General features: G+C 45.6%; 1 protein-coding gene and 1 long non-coding RNA gene across 4 annotated transcripts in view, besides 5 other annotated features; one reads left to right on the top strand and one right to left on the bottom strand.

The window, feature by feature from the left end:
- Window positions 1-4,366: part of a biological region, named in NCBI's record as "desmin locus control region", that runs on past the window's edge. NCBI's record gives its function as "regulatory_interactions: DES".
- Window positions 1-4,366: part of a locus control region, noted in NCBI's record as "18.6DESbeta transgene fragment", that runs on past the window's edge. NCBI's record gives the evidence for it as "EXISTENCE:transgenic organism evidence [ECO:0001131][PMID:16545539]".
- Window positions 327-1,709: a DNaseI hypersensitive site, noted in NCBI's record as "HS4; the nucleotide coordinates are approximate for this feature". NCBI's record gives the evidence for it as "EXISTENCE:in vivo cleavage assay evidence [ECO:0001075][PMID:16545539]".
- The window catches only part of DNPEP-AS1 (DNPEP antisense RNA 1), a 15,063-nt gene continuing 1,178 nt past the window's right edge, over window positions 443-14,327 (bottom strand). The window contains exons 3-4 of one of the 2 annotated variants that reach the window (NR_183823.1): window positions 3,671-3,752; window positions 443-1,486 (exon numbers count right to left, since the gene is read on the bottom strand). This is a non-coding gene — a long non-coding RNA (DNPEP antisense RNA 1). The remainder of the gene's footprint in view (window positions 1,487-3,670; window positions 3,753-14,327) is intronic. The other variant, NR_183822.1, reaches the window with a different exon arrangement.
- Window positions 886-985: an enhancer, noted in NCBI's record as "active region_17152". NCBI's record gives its function as "activates an Ori minimal core promoter by ATAC-STARR-seq in GM12878 lymphoblastoid cells {active_cell/tissue: GM12878}" and the evidence as "EXISTENCE:reporter gene assay evidence [ECO:0000049][PMID:35858748]".
- Window positions 3,058-3,668: a DNaseI hypersensitive site, noted in NCBI's record as "HS5; the nucleotide coordinates are approximate for this feature". NCBI's record gives the evidence for it as "EXISTENCE:in vivo cleavage assay evidence [ECO:0001075][PMID:16545539]".
- The window catches only part of DNPEP (aspartyl aminopeptidase), a 27,965-nt gene continuing 17,705 nt past the window's right edge, over window positions 4,068-14,327 (top strand). For both annotated transcript variants that reach the window (NM_001319117.2, NM_001319116.2), the window contains exon 1: window positions 4,068-4,209. In NM_001319117.2, coding sequence (NP_001306046.1) covers window positions 4,150-4,209 — 60 coding nt within the window. In that variant the 5' untranslated portion in view covers window positions 4,068-4,149. The remainder of the gene's footprint in view (window positions 4,210-14,327) is intronic.

Below are 14,327 nucleotides of genomic sequence, written 5' to 3'. Positions count from 1 at the left end.
GCCACCGCGCCTGGCCTGCTCATGCTTTTCCCCTGCCTGGAACACCCTCACCTCCACAGGGCATTTCTTACCACAGTGCAACACTTACCGTCTCCCTCTCACGGCCAGCTCCAGCCTCATTTCCCAAGTTCTTCTCAGAGCCCAGAGTGGTTTGGAGCCCAGACTGGAAACAGACTACCAGAGACCCTGATCCCAGCTCTTCCTCACTGTGTGACCTTGGACAAATTGCCTTCCTCCTTGTGCCTCCATTTCCTCATCTGTAAATGAGGGTGATAATGCATTTCTCAGAGGGTGCCTGTGAGGATTCATTGAGTTCCTTGATGTAAAGTGCTTTGAATAGTTCTGGGGACATAGTAAGTGCTATTTAAATGTTAAATGAAAATTATCTTTCCCTGCCTTGTATTACTATGACTTTATTTCCTCCAAGTTAAGACACCATGAATTGTGAGACACTTCATTTATTTAATAACATCATTTCAAGGGAAAAAAGAAACATTACCATGTAATGTACAAATTGTAAGTCATCTTCCAATTTCAGAATGTGTAAATTGTTGAGGAACAATAATATTTGTGTGGTGTGTGCGTCTTCCTGCTTATAAGAGAGTCCTCATTTCAGCTTTGTGTGCACCTATTGCTTATGGTTGGTGCCCAAGGGCTTGAGTTCAAGTCCTTACTCCCAAATTTTATTTAGCTAAGCAATCTTGGGTAAGTACTTTGACTTCTTTAAGCCTTGATTTTTTTTTCCTAAATAGCCTAAGTAACTCACAACAATTGTAGTTAATATTAAGCAAGTTCATATATACACGCACACATATATATAAGGTGTTTAGCGCCATATTGGATGTTCAACACAAAAGCGCTATCTTTATAGTGATGATTTTGAAACGTTTGCTGAATTGAATCACACATTTCCAAAGACCTGGGACGCCGAGACGATCTGGTATTTCATGGTCCAAGTGCCCTCCAGTGGCCATAAGGAGAAGCTGCAGGCTTCCGATGCACTTCGGGGGAGGCCTTCCTTAGCCAGCCCGGGAAGTAATTCAGTCACGCCCACCCATAGTCAGGCTTATCCAGTTCTCCTGGAATTCTTCACATTAGATTTCCTTTAACAAAGACCTTAAAGGGCTTCTAAAAAGTAGGATAAGAGACTAAAAGGCAGAGCTTTATCCCAGGAAGGCTGCAGCCTGGCCATACACTCTCCCCAAAGCCTGTGGGCCCAGGGCCCCAGGCAGGCAGGCAGGATGGTAAAATGCCATGCGGAGCATCAGTTCTCCTCTGACCCAGACACTGTGGATCTGTATTGTGAGAGAACTCGTTTGTACACATCCAAAAATCCAGCAGAAAACAGCATTAGCCCATTCTAAGAATCTGCATCCGTGCTTTGACATATTTGTCATTTGTTTACCCATGCACTCCTTTCTTCCATTGTTCCTTCATCCATCAATATTTATTGAATACCAAGCTTGGCAGCCTCACGTCCTAGGTGCTGGGGGTTAAAAAGATCAATTTAACACAGACACAAACACAGCCACCAAGAGTTGTTCATAATGTCCCAGACACCACACGCAGAGTTAATCCTTGTATTCGAGTGTTTACAGCTTCTCTGTGTGGCTGAGGGGGAGGGCACAGGCAGAGAAATGAACATCAGATCCAGGCTGCCTGATTTCCCCCGACCAAACGTGTCCATAATGGGAGCTTTCTCTGGCTAGGTCAGGGAACTGACTTCCTCCTCCTGGGCCACACTGCTGCTCTGAAAAATCCTCCCTGATCTCAAACACTGACCAAACTCCCAGCTGCATCTATATCAGAATCCCTGATCTCTCCTTCCCCACCATTGCCCTTTACCCAGAGCCCAGAGCTGGCAGTCAGGGAGGAGAGATGTGTTTTTAACCCACCTTGCAATGGATGGCCTGGCCAAGGCTGTTACTTACCATGACTTAGCAGCCACATGCAGCTTAATGCCATCTCTGGCTCACTCCCCCTTGCCAAGGACTGAAATGAAGGAGGCTCACTCTAGAGCACTGCCAGGGGTGTGCAGGGGGTGGGTGGTGGGGGGGTGTCTGCAAGTGCCCAGGGTCTATCTTTCTGGAAGATGGCAGGAGGGAGAGGAAGACCTGGTGAACATCTATTACTGATTGTCCCTGGGACCCTGGTGGCCTCCCGGAACTGCCGCCTCCCTCCTTCCCTTCATGATCAAACTTTTCAACTGTCCTCCCCACACCCATCTTCAGTTTCCCCTTGCAGGTTCCTCATTGTCCCATTTCCTCAGAATTCTTGCAGCTGCAGTCACACAGGCTATTGGTGCCCTGCTGGGTCCTCTACTCCTAGACCAGTGCTGTCTCACAGAAATACAATGGAAGCCATGTATGTCATTTTGAATGTTCTAGTAGCTGCAATTTTAAAACGTAATAAAAACAGGTCGGGCGCAGTGGCTCACGCCTGTAATCCCAGCGCTTTGGGAGGCCGAGGCGGGTGGATCACTTGAGGTCAGGAGTTCGAGACCAGCCTGGCCAACATGGAGAAACCTCATCTCTACTAGAAATGCAAAAATTAGCCAAGCGTGGTGGCAGGCACCTATAATCCCAGCTACTCAGGAGGCTGAGGCAGGGGAATTGCTTGAACCCAGGAGGGGAAGATTGCAGTGAGCCAAGATGGTGCCACTGCACTCCAGCCTGGGTGACAGAGCGAGACTTTGTATCAAAAAAAAAAAAGTAATAAAAACAGGTGAAATTAATGTTACTAATATAGCAATGATAGTATATTTAACAATGTATCCAAAATGCTATCATTTTAACCTGTAAGCAATATCTTAAAATGGAGATATTTCATACATTTTGTACATAATCCAGTGGCACATTGTTTTATAGGTATAGCATTTCTCAATGTGAGAGGTACTTGAAGGTGTAGCCACATGTCAAGGGCTCAATAGCCCTGCATAGCTGGTGGCTGCTGTACTAGCCAGCACAGTTCTAGAGCCTTCATTCTCTACTTGGCATCCACGATTTTGCCGAGTCCAGTAATTATCCCATTCCCATGTGGCCTGTCTCCCTTGGGAGATTCGAAACCCCTCCTCCCCCAGGGGCAGAGTCCTCATTTTGCTCATCCCTCTGACTCCCAGGGCACCATCAAACTGTGCCCCACACCCAGGAGGCCCTCAAAGCATGTTTGTTGATGGGAGTGAGCGTTCGGGATTGATTTTTGTGGTTCAGTTATGGCTGTAAATGGTGTTTTATAGATTGCTTCTATAGAAGCACCCTGCTGCAATATTAGCAGAAACAAGCAGCAGTGGTTGTCAGCACAGGCAGAGGCCTCGGGGCAGATGGGGCTCCCTGAATCAGGCGGGGGAAATCCTGCTAGATGAGATACCATTGCTCTGGTTTAAGAGCCTGTCATTGCCACAGCGTGCTCCTCCAAGCAACCCCATCTCTGTTAGAGCTCAGAGATAGCCCCTGTCAGAGTGCATGACACAAAGGATGTGTCTCCAGCAACCCGCCACCAGGCTGGCAGCTTTCTCAGGGCAGAAATGGGAGTTATTCAGGTGGACAAGAGCCTGGCCCACAACAGATGCACCAGGCATGCATTTCGAATGAATAAATGAATGGATGACCAGAGTGAGTGAAGCCTCTCGTTCATGTCTTCATGCCCCAGAAAGTCTTTATCGAGCACTTACTATATCAGACACTGTGCTTGGTACTGGGACACAGCAGGGAACAAGGAAACAGGGAGGGTCGTGTCCTCCTGGAGCTCACATTCTGATGGGAGAGACAGATAATAAAAAAGTAAACACGGATAAGTGAAATAATTAGAGCACTGGCTGGCAGGAAGCAAACAAAGGGGCCAAAATAGAGAATGAGGGAGGAGTTCTTCAAGGAAAGAAGAAAGTCTCTATTCTTAGCCTCCCAGAATACAAGACACCCCTCCCCCAGGTCAGGTGTCAACATTTAGACGTTGGCCACCATACGTCAGCCTGTGGCTTGGGGTGCCCTGAGGATGTTACTGCTTCAAATTGCACTGGTGATGTCATAATGGGCTCTAGGGATGTCGGAGAGCCCTGCAAGTTGGGGCCCAAGGCAGGGGAAGGATCCGGCAAAAAAGGCACACGGTTCAGGCCTGTCCACTCCAGCCTTGGGAGGAGGTGAGCAGGTCACCATGGCTCGGAGCCTCTCCATCATGTTCGTCCCCAACAGCTGGCTCAATGGCTACCACAAGGTAACCGGGGCCTGTCTAGTTCTGTGGCCAGCCAGTGCAGACACGTTCCTAGGCACCAGCCTTCCATGAGCCACGCACTGGCTTAGGCATTATGGGGATAAAGAGATGAATGAAATAGGGTCCCCTGCTCTCAGTCTGCTAACAAACCAGACCTCGAGCAAGTGGCTTAACAGAATAATACTCATCATCATCTTGGCTAACTTTGGAGGATTTAATCTTTCCAAACAACCCTGTCTGGTGCCCTATTCTCTCCACGTTGCCCAACAACTGAGTTCAAGGGCAGCCCACCCATCGGCACAAGTGTTTTTTGATAATTTAGATTAGTGTTTCTCAGGGTGATCTAAAGATGGCAAAATTACTTGCAGCACCTGTTAAAAGTGGAGATCCCTGGGCCTCAGCCCAAATCTTCCAAATCAGGAGTTTCAGGTATGGGGCTCATGAATCTGCATTTTAAATAGCACTCCGGGGGATTCGCACCCTAAACACTGCCTTAGAGTTTAAACACCTGCCAGTTTCCAAGCCCCATGCCTGGTGGACCAGGGTGGGTCGGTTTCTGTTTGAGATAGGTGTTGGCCTTTGATATTTTTATTACTGATGAAAAGCCATGATTCATAAGCTGCTGGTGGCCAGCTGTCAGCTTGGAAAGGAGTCAGAGGCCACTGAGAACAGAATTGCCTATCTTTTCAACCCATCTATAAAATGCCTACCTGGGCAGACACTGTTTAAAGGCCATTAAAATAGCAGACACAGAATCACCCAGTCCCTGGAACTTCATAGACATATTTACTCAAACTTAAGTGCTTGCAAGGAGTAAATAAACGGGAAGCAAAATGAGTAAGCTTCCCTAGAAATACGAACTGAAAGTAAACAGCCCTGTTCACTAAAATAAACAAGACAAATCCAGCGAGGATTAAATGACCTCTAGTCAGGTTGAGAGCCAGAAATGCCCCATCTTGGCTCCCAGAGGAAGGCGAGGGCCTGTGCCTGCCACCTGGAGGGGGTGCATCAGAAGCTGCATTCCTTGGGGGCTCAGAGGTGGGCCTGCAAGGGCAGACATTACCCTTGGGTGGTAGGAGTGCACCCCAGACCCCCCTGGCATCCTGCCACAGGGCCTGAAAACCCTCATGTTTAAAGATTAAGAAGTATGTCCTAAAAGTCTTCTGAAAAAGTCCAGGTTTTCTAGAGACATATTACCCTAGTTACTTTTTTTTTTTTTGAGATGGAGTCTTGCTCTGTCGCCCAGGCTGGAGTGCAGTGGTGCAATCTCGGCTCACTGCAACCTCCATCTCCTGGGTTCAAGCGATTCTCCTGCCTCATCCTCCCAAGTAGCTAGGATTACAGGCATGTACCACCACACCCAGCTCATTTTTGTATTTTTAGTAGAGACAGGGTTTCACCATGTTGGCCAGACTGGCCTCGAACCCCTGACCTCAGGTGATCCACCCGCCTTGGCCTCCCAGAGTGCTGGGATTACAGGCGTGAGCCAACGCGCCCGGCCCCAAGTTACTATTATTTGCCATTTATTCACTAATTTAGTAAACATTCATTGAGAACCTACTACATGTCAGGCCAGGCACTAAAGATATCAAGATGATTAGCGCAGCGACCTGCCCTTAAGTTGCTCACGGTTCAAAATGAGAGATAATACTAGCTCACAAGTACTGCCCACTTAACTATTTGAAGAACTCAGTGATGAGCACCCTACGTGCATTATCCCATTTACTCCTCATAACATTATGAGGTTATGACTATCTTCCACCGGTTTACAGATGAGGAAGCTAAGGCTCTAAGTCTGTGGTGTGATGGTAGATGTTTAACAGCTAGCTCTCTGGGCCAGGTGTGATGGCTCACAACTGTAATCCTAACACTTTGGGAGGCCAAGATGGGAGGACTGCTTGAGCCCAGGTGTTTGCCGCCAGTGCGGGCAACATACTGAAACTCCATCTAAAATTAAAAATTAAAAAAAAAAGAAAAGCATCCAGGCACAGTGGCTCATGCCTGTAATCCCAGCACTTTGGGAGGCCGAGGCGGGTGAATCACTTGAGGTCAGGAGTTTAAGAACAGCCTGGCCAACATGGCAAAACCTTGTCTCTACTAAAAATACAAAAATTAGCCAGGCATGGTGGCACATGCCTGTAACCCTTGCTAATCTCCAATCTCATGACTTTAAATAGCATCTGTACCCCGATAATTGTCAAATTTACATACCCCCAGCCCAGATATCTCTTCTGAACTATATATAATCTCACATATCCAATTGTTTTTGCACAGTGTCCGTGTGGGCCTAATAGGAATCTCCAGTGTAATGTCTTAATCTGAACTCCTTGTTCCCCAAACCTATTCCACCCACATTCTTGATCATATGGAGGCTACTTGGAAGGCTGAAGCACGAGAATCACTTGAATCCAGGAGGCTGAAGTTGCAGTGAGCCAAGATCACGCCACTGTACTCCAGCCTGGGCAACAGAGCAAAACTCTGTCTCAAAAAATAAAACAAAACAAAACAAAAAACCAATTAGCTCTCTGGAAGAAAAAAAAAATGCCCTGATTTGTAGTGTTTGCCAGTCTCAGTGGTGTAAATACTTGCAGGCCTGTCTCAAGCTTCCTGTCTGATGTCTCTGAATGTGGAACAGGAAAGAGACGGGGGTGGGAGGGGAGGGGAGGGGGGCTGGCTCTGGCACAACACGGCAAATACGACCCACAGCTAATAAATGCAGGAGCCAGGATGTGAGCCCGGTGTGTGGATCCTGAGCCCACGCTCATAACCACTTTGTTATACTGTCACTAACTATACAAGAGCATTGACATTCAAGGGGGATACATCTTAAGACCTTTGTGAAGTGCCAGTTTTACAGTGTTCCATAAAACTTGCAAGGTTAGTAACCAGCACTTTCCTATACCTCTTTGTTTTCATCACTAACAGGAGCAGTTGGTTTTCCTTTGAGGGCCATTCTGAAAACCTTTTTATTTGGAAATAATTTTACCTTCCCAAGAGGTTGCAGAAATTGTACATGGAGGTCTGTGTGCCCTCCACTCAGTTTCCCCAGATGGTTACATCTTAGATAAGCACAGCACAGTATTACACTCAGGAAAGTGACACAGGTAAAATGTGTGTGCGTAGGGTTTGATGCTATTTTTTTCTAGGTTTGCCAGATTTAGCAAATGAAAATACAGGAAACTCAGTTAAATTTTGTTTTTAGTATAAGCATATCCCATGCAATATTTGGGACATACTTATACTGAAAAGATTATTCCTTATCTTTTTTTTTCTTTTTTTTTGAGATGGAGTCTTGCTCTGTTGCCCAGGCTAGAGTGTAGTGGTACGATCTCAGCTCACTTCAACCTCCACCTCCCAAGTTCATGCGATTCTCCTGCCTCAGCCTCCCTAGTAGCTGGGATTACAGGTGCCCGCTACCATGCCTGGCTAATTTTTGTATTTTTAGTAGAGATGGGGCTTCACCATGTTGGTAAGGCTGGTCTCGAACTCCTGACCTCAAGTGATCCGCCTGCCTTGGCCTCCCAAAGTGCTGGGATTAGAGGTGTAAGCCACCCACGCCCAGCCCTTGTTTATCTTAAATTCAAATTAAACTGGGCATTCTGTATTTCATTTGGCAACCCTAACTTTATCATGGTTAGAGTCATAACCACCATTATAATCAAGACATAGAACTATCCATCACCATCAAGATATTCCTGAGCTACTCCTTCATAGTCACACATCCCTCCCCAAATCCTCCCTAGCCCTGAGCAACCACTAATCTGTTCTCCATCTCTATAATTTTGTCATTTTTTTCACTCAGCATAAGGCACCTGAGATCCATCCACAGCGTTGCATTTAGCAACCACTCGTTCCTTTTTATCGCTGAGTATTATCCCATGAGGGCCCTTTTTCACAAAGAACAATTATTTTTCAAAATTTCTTTAATTCAGTAAGTGTTTATTGTATATCCACTACCTGCCAGGCACTGAGGATTGCAGCAGCAAAGTAAAATTGATTACATGTCACAGGCCAGCAGGTTACTTCCAGTTGACAGAGACTTCTTCCTGTGGATCCTAAGACAGGAGATGACACTGGCGCTAGGAGAGGAGGATTGGCCTCCCTAAGCACTTCCCTCTGGAGATGCTAGGGAAGGCTTTGTGAAGGAGCTTGGGAGGCAGGGTTTGCTGATGGATCTGACATGGGGTGCAAGAGAAAGAGATGCACCAAGGCTAACGCCAAGAGTTATGACCTGAAACTGGAAGGACAAAGTTGCCATTTACTGAATGTATGGCAGATGCACCTGACAGCAATAACTGAAGCACACCCTGAGAATGACCCTGAATGGCAGATATACTTGATGTGTGTTTGGAGTTCTGAGCTAAGAAATCCTGGAGTGGGCAACCTAGAGATCCTCATCTATGAGGAACCTCTGAGCCCCCTTCCCATCCTGTGGAACAAGGGCCATACAGGGGATCAAGGCGCTTTGTTTTGGGTTAAATGAAGGTTGCCAGGTAGAGGTTGTTAGGGAGCAGGTGTTGAGTGAAAATGCGTGCTTTCTGCAGGTGACAGTGGTTCTACTGTCCAGCTCGCCACCACTGGACCATCTTGTATGTAAGTTCTCCTCAATAGACCCCACGTCGGCCGGGCCCAGTGGCTCACGCCTGTGATCCCAGCACTTCGGGAGGCTGAGGAGGGCAGATTGCTTGAGGTCAGGAGTTCGAGACCAGCCTGGCCAACATAGTGAAACCCTGTCTCTACTAAAAATACAAAATTAGCTGGGCATGGTGGTGCATGTCTGTAATCCTCAGGAGGCTGAGGCAGGAGAATCACTTGAACACAGGAGGTGGAGGTTGCAGTGAACCGAGATCGCACCACTGCACTCCAGCCTGGGCAACAGAGTGAGACTCCCTCTCAAAAAAAAAAAAACCTTGTCTTGTTTGCTGGCTCTGGGTCTCTTCTTTGGCCTCTTGAACCTGGGGCCTTCCTTATTGGAGTGGACAGGGGTTCAGCACAACACTGAGATGGGAAGAATGTGGATGGAATAGGTTTGGGGAACAAGGAGTTCAGATTAAGACATATTACACTGGAGATTCCTATTAGGCACACATATGGAGACTGTGCAAAAACAATTGGATATATGAGAATATATATAGTTCAGAAGAGATATCTGGGCTAGGGATACATAAATTTGACAATTGTCAGGGTATGGATACTATTTAAAGTCATGAGATTGGACATTAGCAAGGGAGTGAGGGTAGAGAGATTTCTAAGCACTGAGCCCTGAGGCCTTCCATTTAAAGATGGGAGATGAGGCCAGGCACCGTGGCTCATGCCTGTAATCCCAGCAGTTTGGGAGCCCCAGGTAAGAGTATCGCTTGAGGTCAAAGTTGGAGGCCAGCCTGGCCAACAAAGTGAGACCTCATCTCTATTTTAAAAACATGAATATAATAAAATAATAACAACATTAAAGATGGGAGATGAGGAGGAGCCAGAAGAGACCCAAAGGAGTGGTGGTGAGGGTAGTAAGTGTCTGGAAGGCCAAGTGAAGAGAGTGTTCCCAGGAGAGCAAACGGCTATGTCAAATAGGACCCATGGGTCAACGACAATGGGGACTGAAAATCGACCATTGGGTTCAGCATTGTGGAGGTTGCTTTTGACCTTGACAAGAAAAGTTGCGGTGGAATGACAGCGGTAAAACCTCATTCTAGAGGATTTACAAGAGAATGGGAGGAGAGGAATCGGGAAAACATAAGACTAGATAGTTCTTTTTAAAAGAGATTTACATAAAGAGGAGAAGGAAAATGAGGCCACTGCTGGAGGGAGACTGGGGGTTAAGGGAGGATTATTTTTTCTTGGGAGAAATTATAGCACATGTATATGCTAATCAGCTTGACCCGCCAGAACTGTGGAGATTGATAATGCAGGAGAAAGGGAAGAAGAGTTGATATGGTGCCCTTACGTAAGCAAGAGGGGTGGAATCTTGTGCACAAGTGGAGAGGGTGGCCTTGGATAGGAGCACAGATGGTTCACCCACAGAAATGAGGACAGCAGAATATGGAGCTCAGATCCTGGTAGGAGCCTAGGCGTGGCAGCTTAAAACTTGCGGAAATTCTCTTTTGAAGGCTTCTATTTTCACAGTAAAATGGGAACCATGGTCCTCGGCTGAGAGTGGGGATGGAGGAAGACACTGGATGAAACTCTCCTCCAGGAAAGCAAAGAAGCAAATGGCCCAGGAGATGCAATAGGACCTCTGGGCAGTACAAAGAACACACTTAGGTTAGTGGTTGAGTTTAAAGCAAGCTTGTCCAGCTGGGTGTGGTGGCTCACACCTGTAATCCCAGCACTTTGGGAGGCCAAGGCAGATGGATCACTTGAGGTCAGGAGGTCGAGACCAGCCTGGCCAACATGGTGAAACCCTGTCTCTACTAAAAATACAGAAATTAGCCAGGCATGGTGGCTCATGCTTGTAATCACAGCTACTTGAGAGGCTGAGGCAGAAGAATCGCTTGAACCCAGGAGGCAGAGGTTGTGGTGAACTGAGATCATGCCACTGCACTCCAGCCTGGGCAACAGAGCAAGACTCTGTCTCAAAAAAACTAAAAAAAAAAGTAAGCTTGTCCAACCCACCACCTATGGACCACATGCAGCCCAGGACAGCTTTGAATGCAGCCCAACACATATTTGTAAACTTTCTTAAAACATTATGAGATTTTTTTGAAAGGTTTTTAGCTCATCAGTTATTGTTAGGGTTCGTGTATTTTATTTGTGGCCCAAGACTATTCTACTTCTTCCAATGTGGCCCAGGGAAGCCAAAAGACCGGACACCACTGGTTTAAAGTGAGACCAGGCAGCGCGGCTTGGATGTTTCTCCAGCCACACAGGTTGGAGCAGGGGAGGAGCTGGTTGCAGTCAGGGTTGGGGTTTTGCCAGGCAAGTCCGCAAATCTAGAGCAGGAACTTGAAGGTGTGTGCGAGGGAGTGAGCACAACAGTGGAATGTATGGCTCATCCTAGGTAGGAGAGTCATGAAGACAGGAGTGAGGAATAGGGAAAGGTAGGATCAATAGTTTGTAGTTCTAGGCTGGACGCGGTGGTTCACACGTGTAATCCCAGCACTTTGGGAGGCCAAGGTGGGTGGATCACCTGAGGTCAGGAGTTCAAGACCAGCCTGGCCAACATGGTGAAACCCTGTCTCTACTAAAAATACAAAAAATGAGCCAGGCATGGTGATGCGTGCTTGTAATCCCAGCTACTCAGGAGGCTGAGGCAGGAGAATCTCTGGAACCCAGGAAATGAAGGTTGCAGTAAGCCAAAATAGCGCCACTGCACTCCAGCCTGGACAACAGAGTGAGACTCCATCTCAAAAAAAAAAATTTAACTGGGTGTGGTAGAGGGCACCTATAATCCCAGCTACATGGGAGGCTGAGGCAGGAGAATCACTTGAACCCAGGAGGCGGAGATTGCAGTGAGCTGAGATGGTTGCCACTGCCCTCTAGCTTGGGCAACAGAGCGAGACTCCGTCTCAATAAAAAAAAAAAAAAAAGACATATGTATCTTATAAACTCACACTGAAGTGTATGTAACTGACTTCTATGTTCACGCAAAAGTATTTGCACTTTAATATGTGTTAAACCAAAAAGATGAATGAATAATGGTAGCATTGTAAACATCAGCCGAGATCTTCCAGGGAAGATTTTCTCAGAAGGCCAAGGGCAAGAACGATTCTCAGAAACTTTTTCTTTCTTGATCCCTAGTCATCCCTTGACTTTGCCACCTGAACTCCAAATCCATCACCATTCCCTTACCCAGAGGTGACCATTATCCTTCCAAACCTGTTTCTATCCATTTACATATGTATTTATATAACATCTAGAAATATAAATTTAGCTCATTGTGTGAGTTTTATCTAAAGGCCCTCACCTTACATTCTAGAAATTGCTTTTTTTTTTCACTCAACAGTATATTTGGAATTCTTTTCTGTAACAATTCCTAAAGACTGACCTTTTTTTTTTTTTTATGAACTGCTACACAGCACTTTAAAATACTGTGTCTCAAGCATTCAAATCATCTAGGAATCTTGTTAACATGCAGATGCTGATTCTATAACTCTAGGGTAAGCCCTGAGGTTCTGCATTTCTAAAAAGCTCCCAGATGTTATTGACATTGCTGGTCAACAGATCACACATTTAGTAGCAAAGATGTACAGTACGGGTGGAATAGTGTGCTGGGGCCAACTTGGACAAGCTCATGAGAACTGATTGTCAAATTTCCAGGAATTTGGTGAGCTTGTTGTTAAACACAGCAATCATTAAAAAAAACTAAATTATATACACTTACAATTAAATAAATTATATTACAGATAATGAAAACCAAAAATCCATCACCTTTCCAAACATTTTACTGCCTTCTTAAATCTATGCTGTTGATGTTATTTCTATCCATTGTGTCTGCATGGTGGAAATCTACATAATGGCATGCTTCCGCACAGCTCTTCCCAACTCCCTTCAGTGACATCATCTCGACAGCTTGAAATCGGCCACGGGGAACATTTACACCACAGAAATTTGGGTATAAAGGTCTGTGCAAACATACCCCCAAAGTTCAGGGAAGCTGAAAAGCCGACGAAAGAGGCTGACATATACAGTCTCTCAGAAAGAAACATTTCATAGGGACTTATGAATAGAGGCCATAGTTTCAGAGATGAAATGGTGGATTACCCTGCAAACCCAGGGCTTACATACCATAGGGAAACAATGTGTCAAACAATTGAAGTTGACCCCTCAGGCAAAGTCATGAATGCTATGTGAATCTGTCTAAGCGCAGGATTTATGGTAATAGTAGGTAAAGTAGAAAACTTAGAGTCATTCCTGGAACAGGTTGTTGAAAAGTCAACATGGCAGATTAGCTTCCCAGATGGAGTTGCTTTAGCCTCCAGAAAATGCTTGCATTACCCCAAGCCTTCTCCAACACTTGATATTACCCATCTTTTCCATTTTTGTTAATCTGCTCAATAAAAAGAAAAAGTATCTCATTTTTATTATTTATTAATTTTTTTTTTGAGTTGGAGTCTCGCACTTGTTGCCTGGGCTGGAGTGCAATGGCACGATCTCGGCTCACTGCAACCTCTGCCTCCCGGGTTCAAGCAGTTCTCCTGCCTCAGTCTCCTGAGTAGCTGGGATTACAAGTGCACACCACCATGTCCAGCTAATTTTTTGTATTTTTAGCCAGGCTAGTCTCAAACTCCTGACCTCGTGATCCACCCGCCTTTGCCTCCCAAAGTGCTGGGATTACAGGCATGAGCCACCACGCCCAACTGTTATCTCATTTTTAACTTGCATTTTCCTGTTTAAAGTGAGATTAGGTGTCTCATATGTTCATGACTAGAAATTTAACAATATTTCTTGCTCTTGTAAATATAGCCCTTTTACTTTTTTCTTTTTTACCCAAACCAAAAATGGTCAATAAGAACCTTTTTACTTTTATATTTTCTAGGTGATTATTGTACAAGAAAGTCAGTGTTTTTTAAATTAGGCTACCCTTCCTACCAGTTCTAATAATAGCTTGATCGTTTATTTTCTTGGGGATTCTAGATAATCATATAATCTATAAATAATGACCAATTTTACTTTTGCACATATAGAATTGTTAATTTTGTTTTGTGGTACTGGCTCTGACTACAGCTCCACATTGTCTAGCAGCAGTAATAGCTCATCAATGTCTCACTTCTGATTTGAATAGGAACACTTCTGTATTTCCCTCCCAAAATGCTGGGATGACAGGCGTGAGCCACCACTCCCGGCTCACTTTCTAAGTTATGCATTTTGGTGATGTTTGAATCTCTTACTCAAGCATGTACTCTTTTCTGTGATCAGAAAGAACATTAAAGGTGGTTCCTTATTCAGGTTGTCTCCTTCCCTTATACATTGTAGCCTTGTTTCGGCCCTTTCACTGTCCTCCTTGAATGTGTCCCCTCCCCAGGAGGTAGAGGACAAGAATGCTCTCTCCATGTCCTGCTCAGCATTGAGCTTTATACATAATTTTATTTATTTATTTATTGAGACAGAATCTCACTCTGTCGCCCAGGCTGGAGTGCAGTGGCACGATCTCAGCTCACTGCAACCTCCACCTCCCGGGTTCAAGC

Source organism: Homo sapiens, chromosome 2 (genome assembly GCF_000001405.40).
Source record: "Homo sapiens chromosome 2, GRCh38.p14 Primary Assembly".
In the NCBI taxonomy this organism is placed as follows: domain Eukaryota; kingdom Metazoa; phylum Chordata; class Mammalia; order Primates; family Hominidae; genus Homo; species Homo sapiens.
The sequence above is the reverse complement of the archived record's forward strand: the minus strand, read 5'-3'. Positions and strand labels throughout refer to the sequence as shown.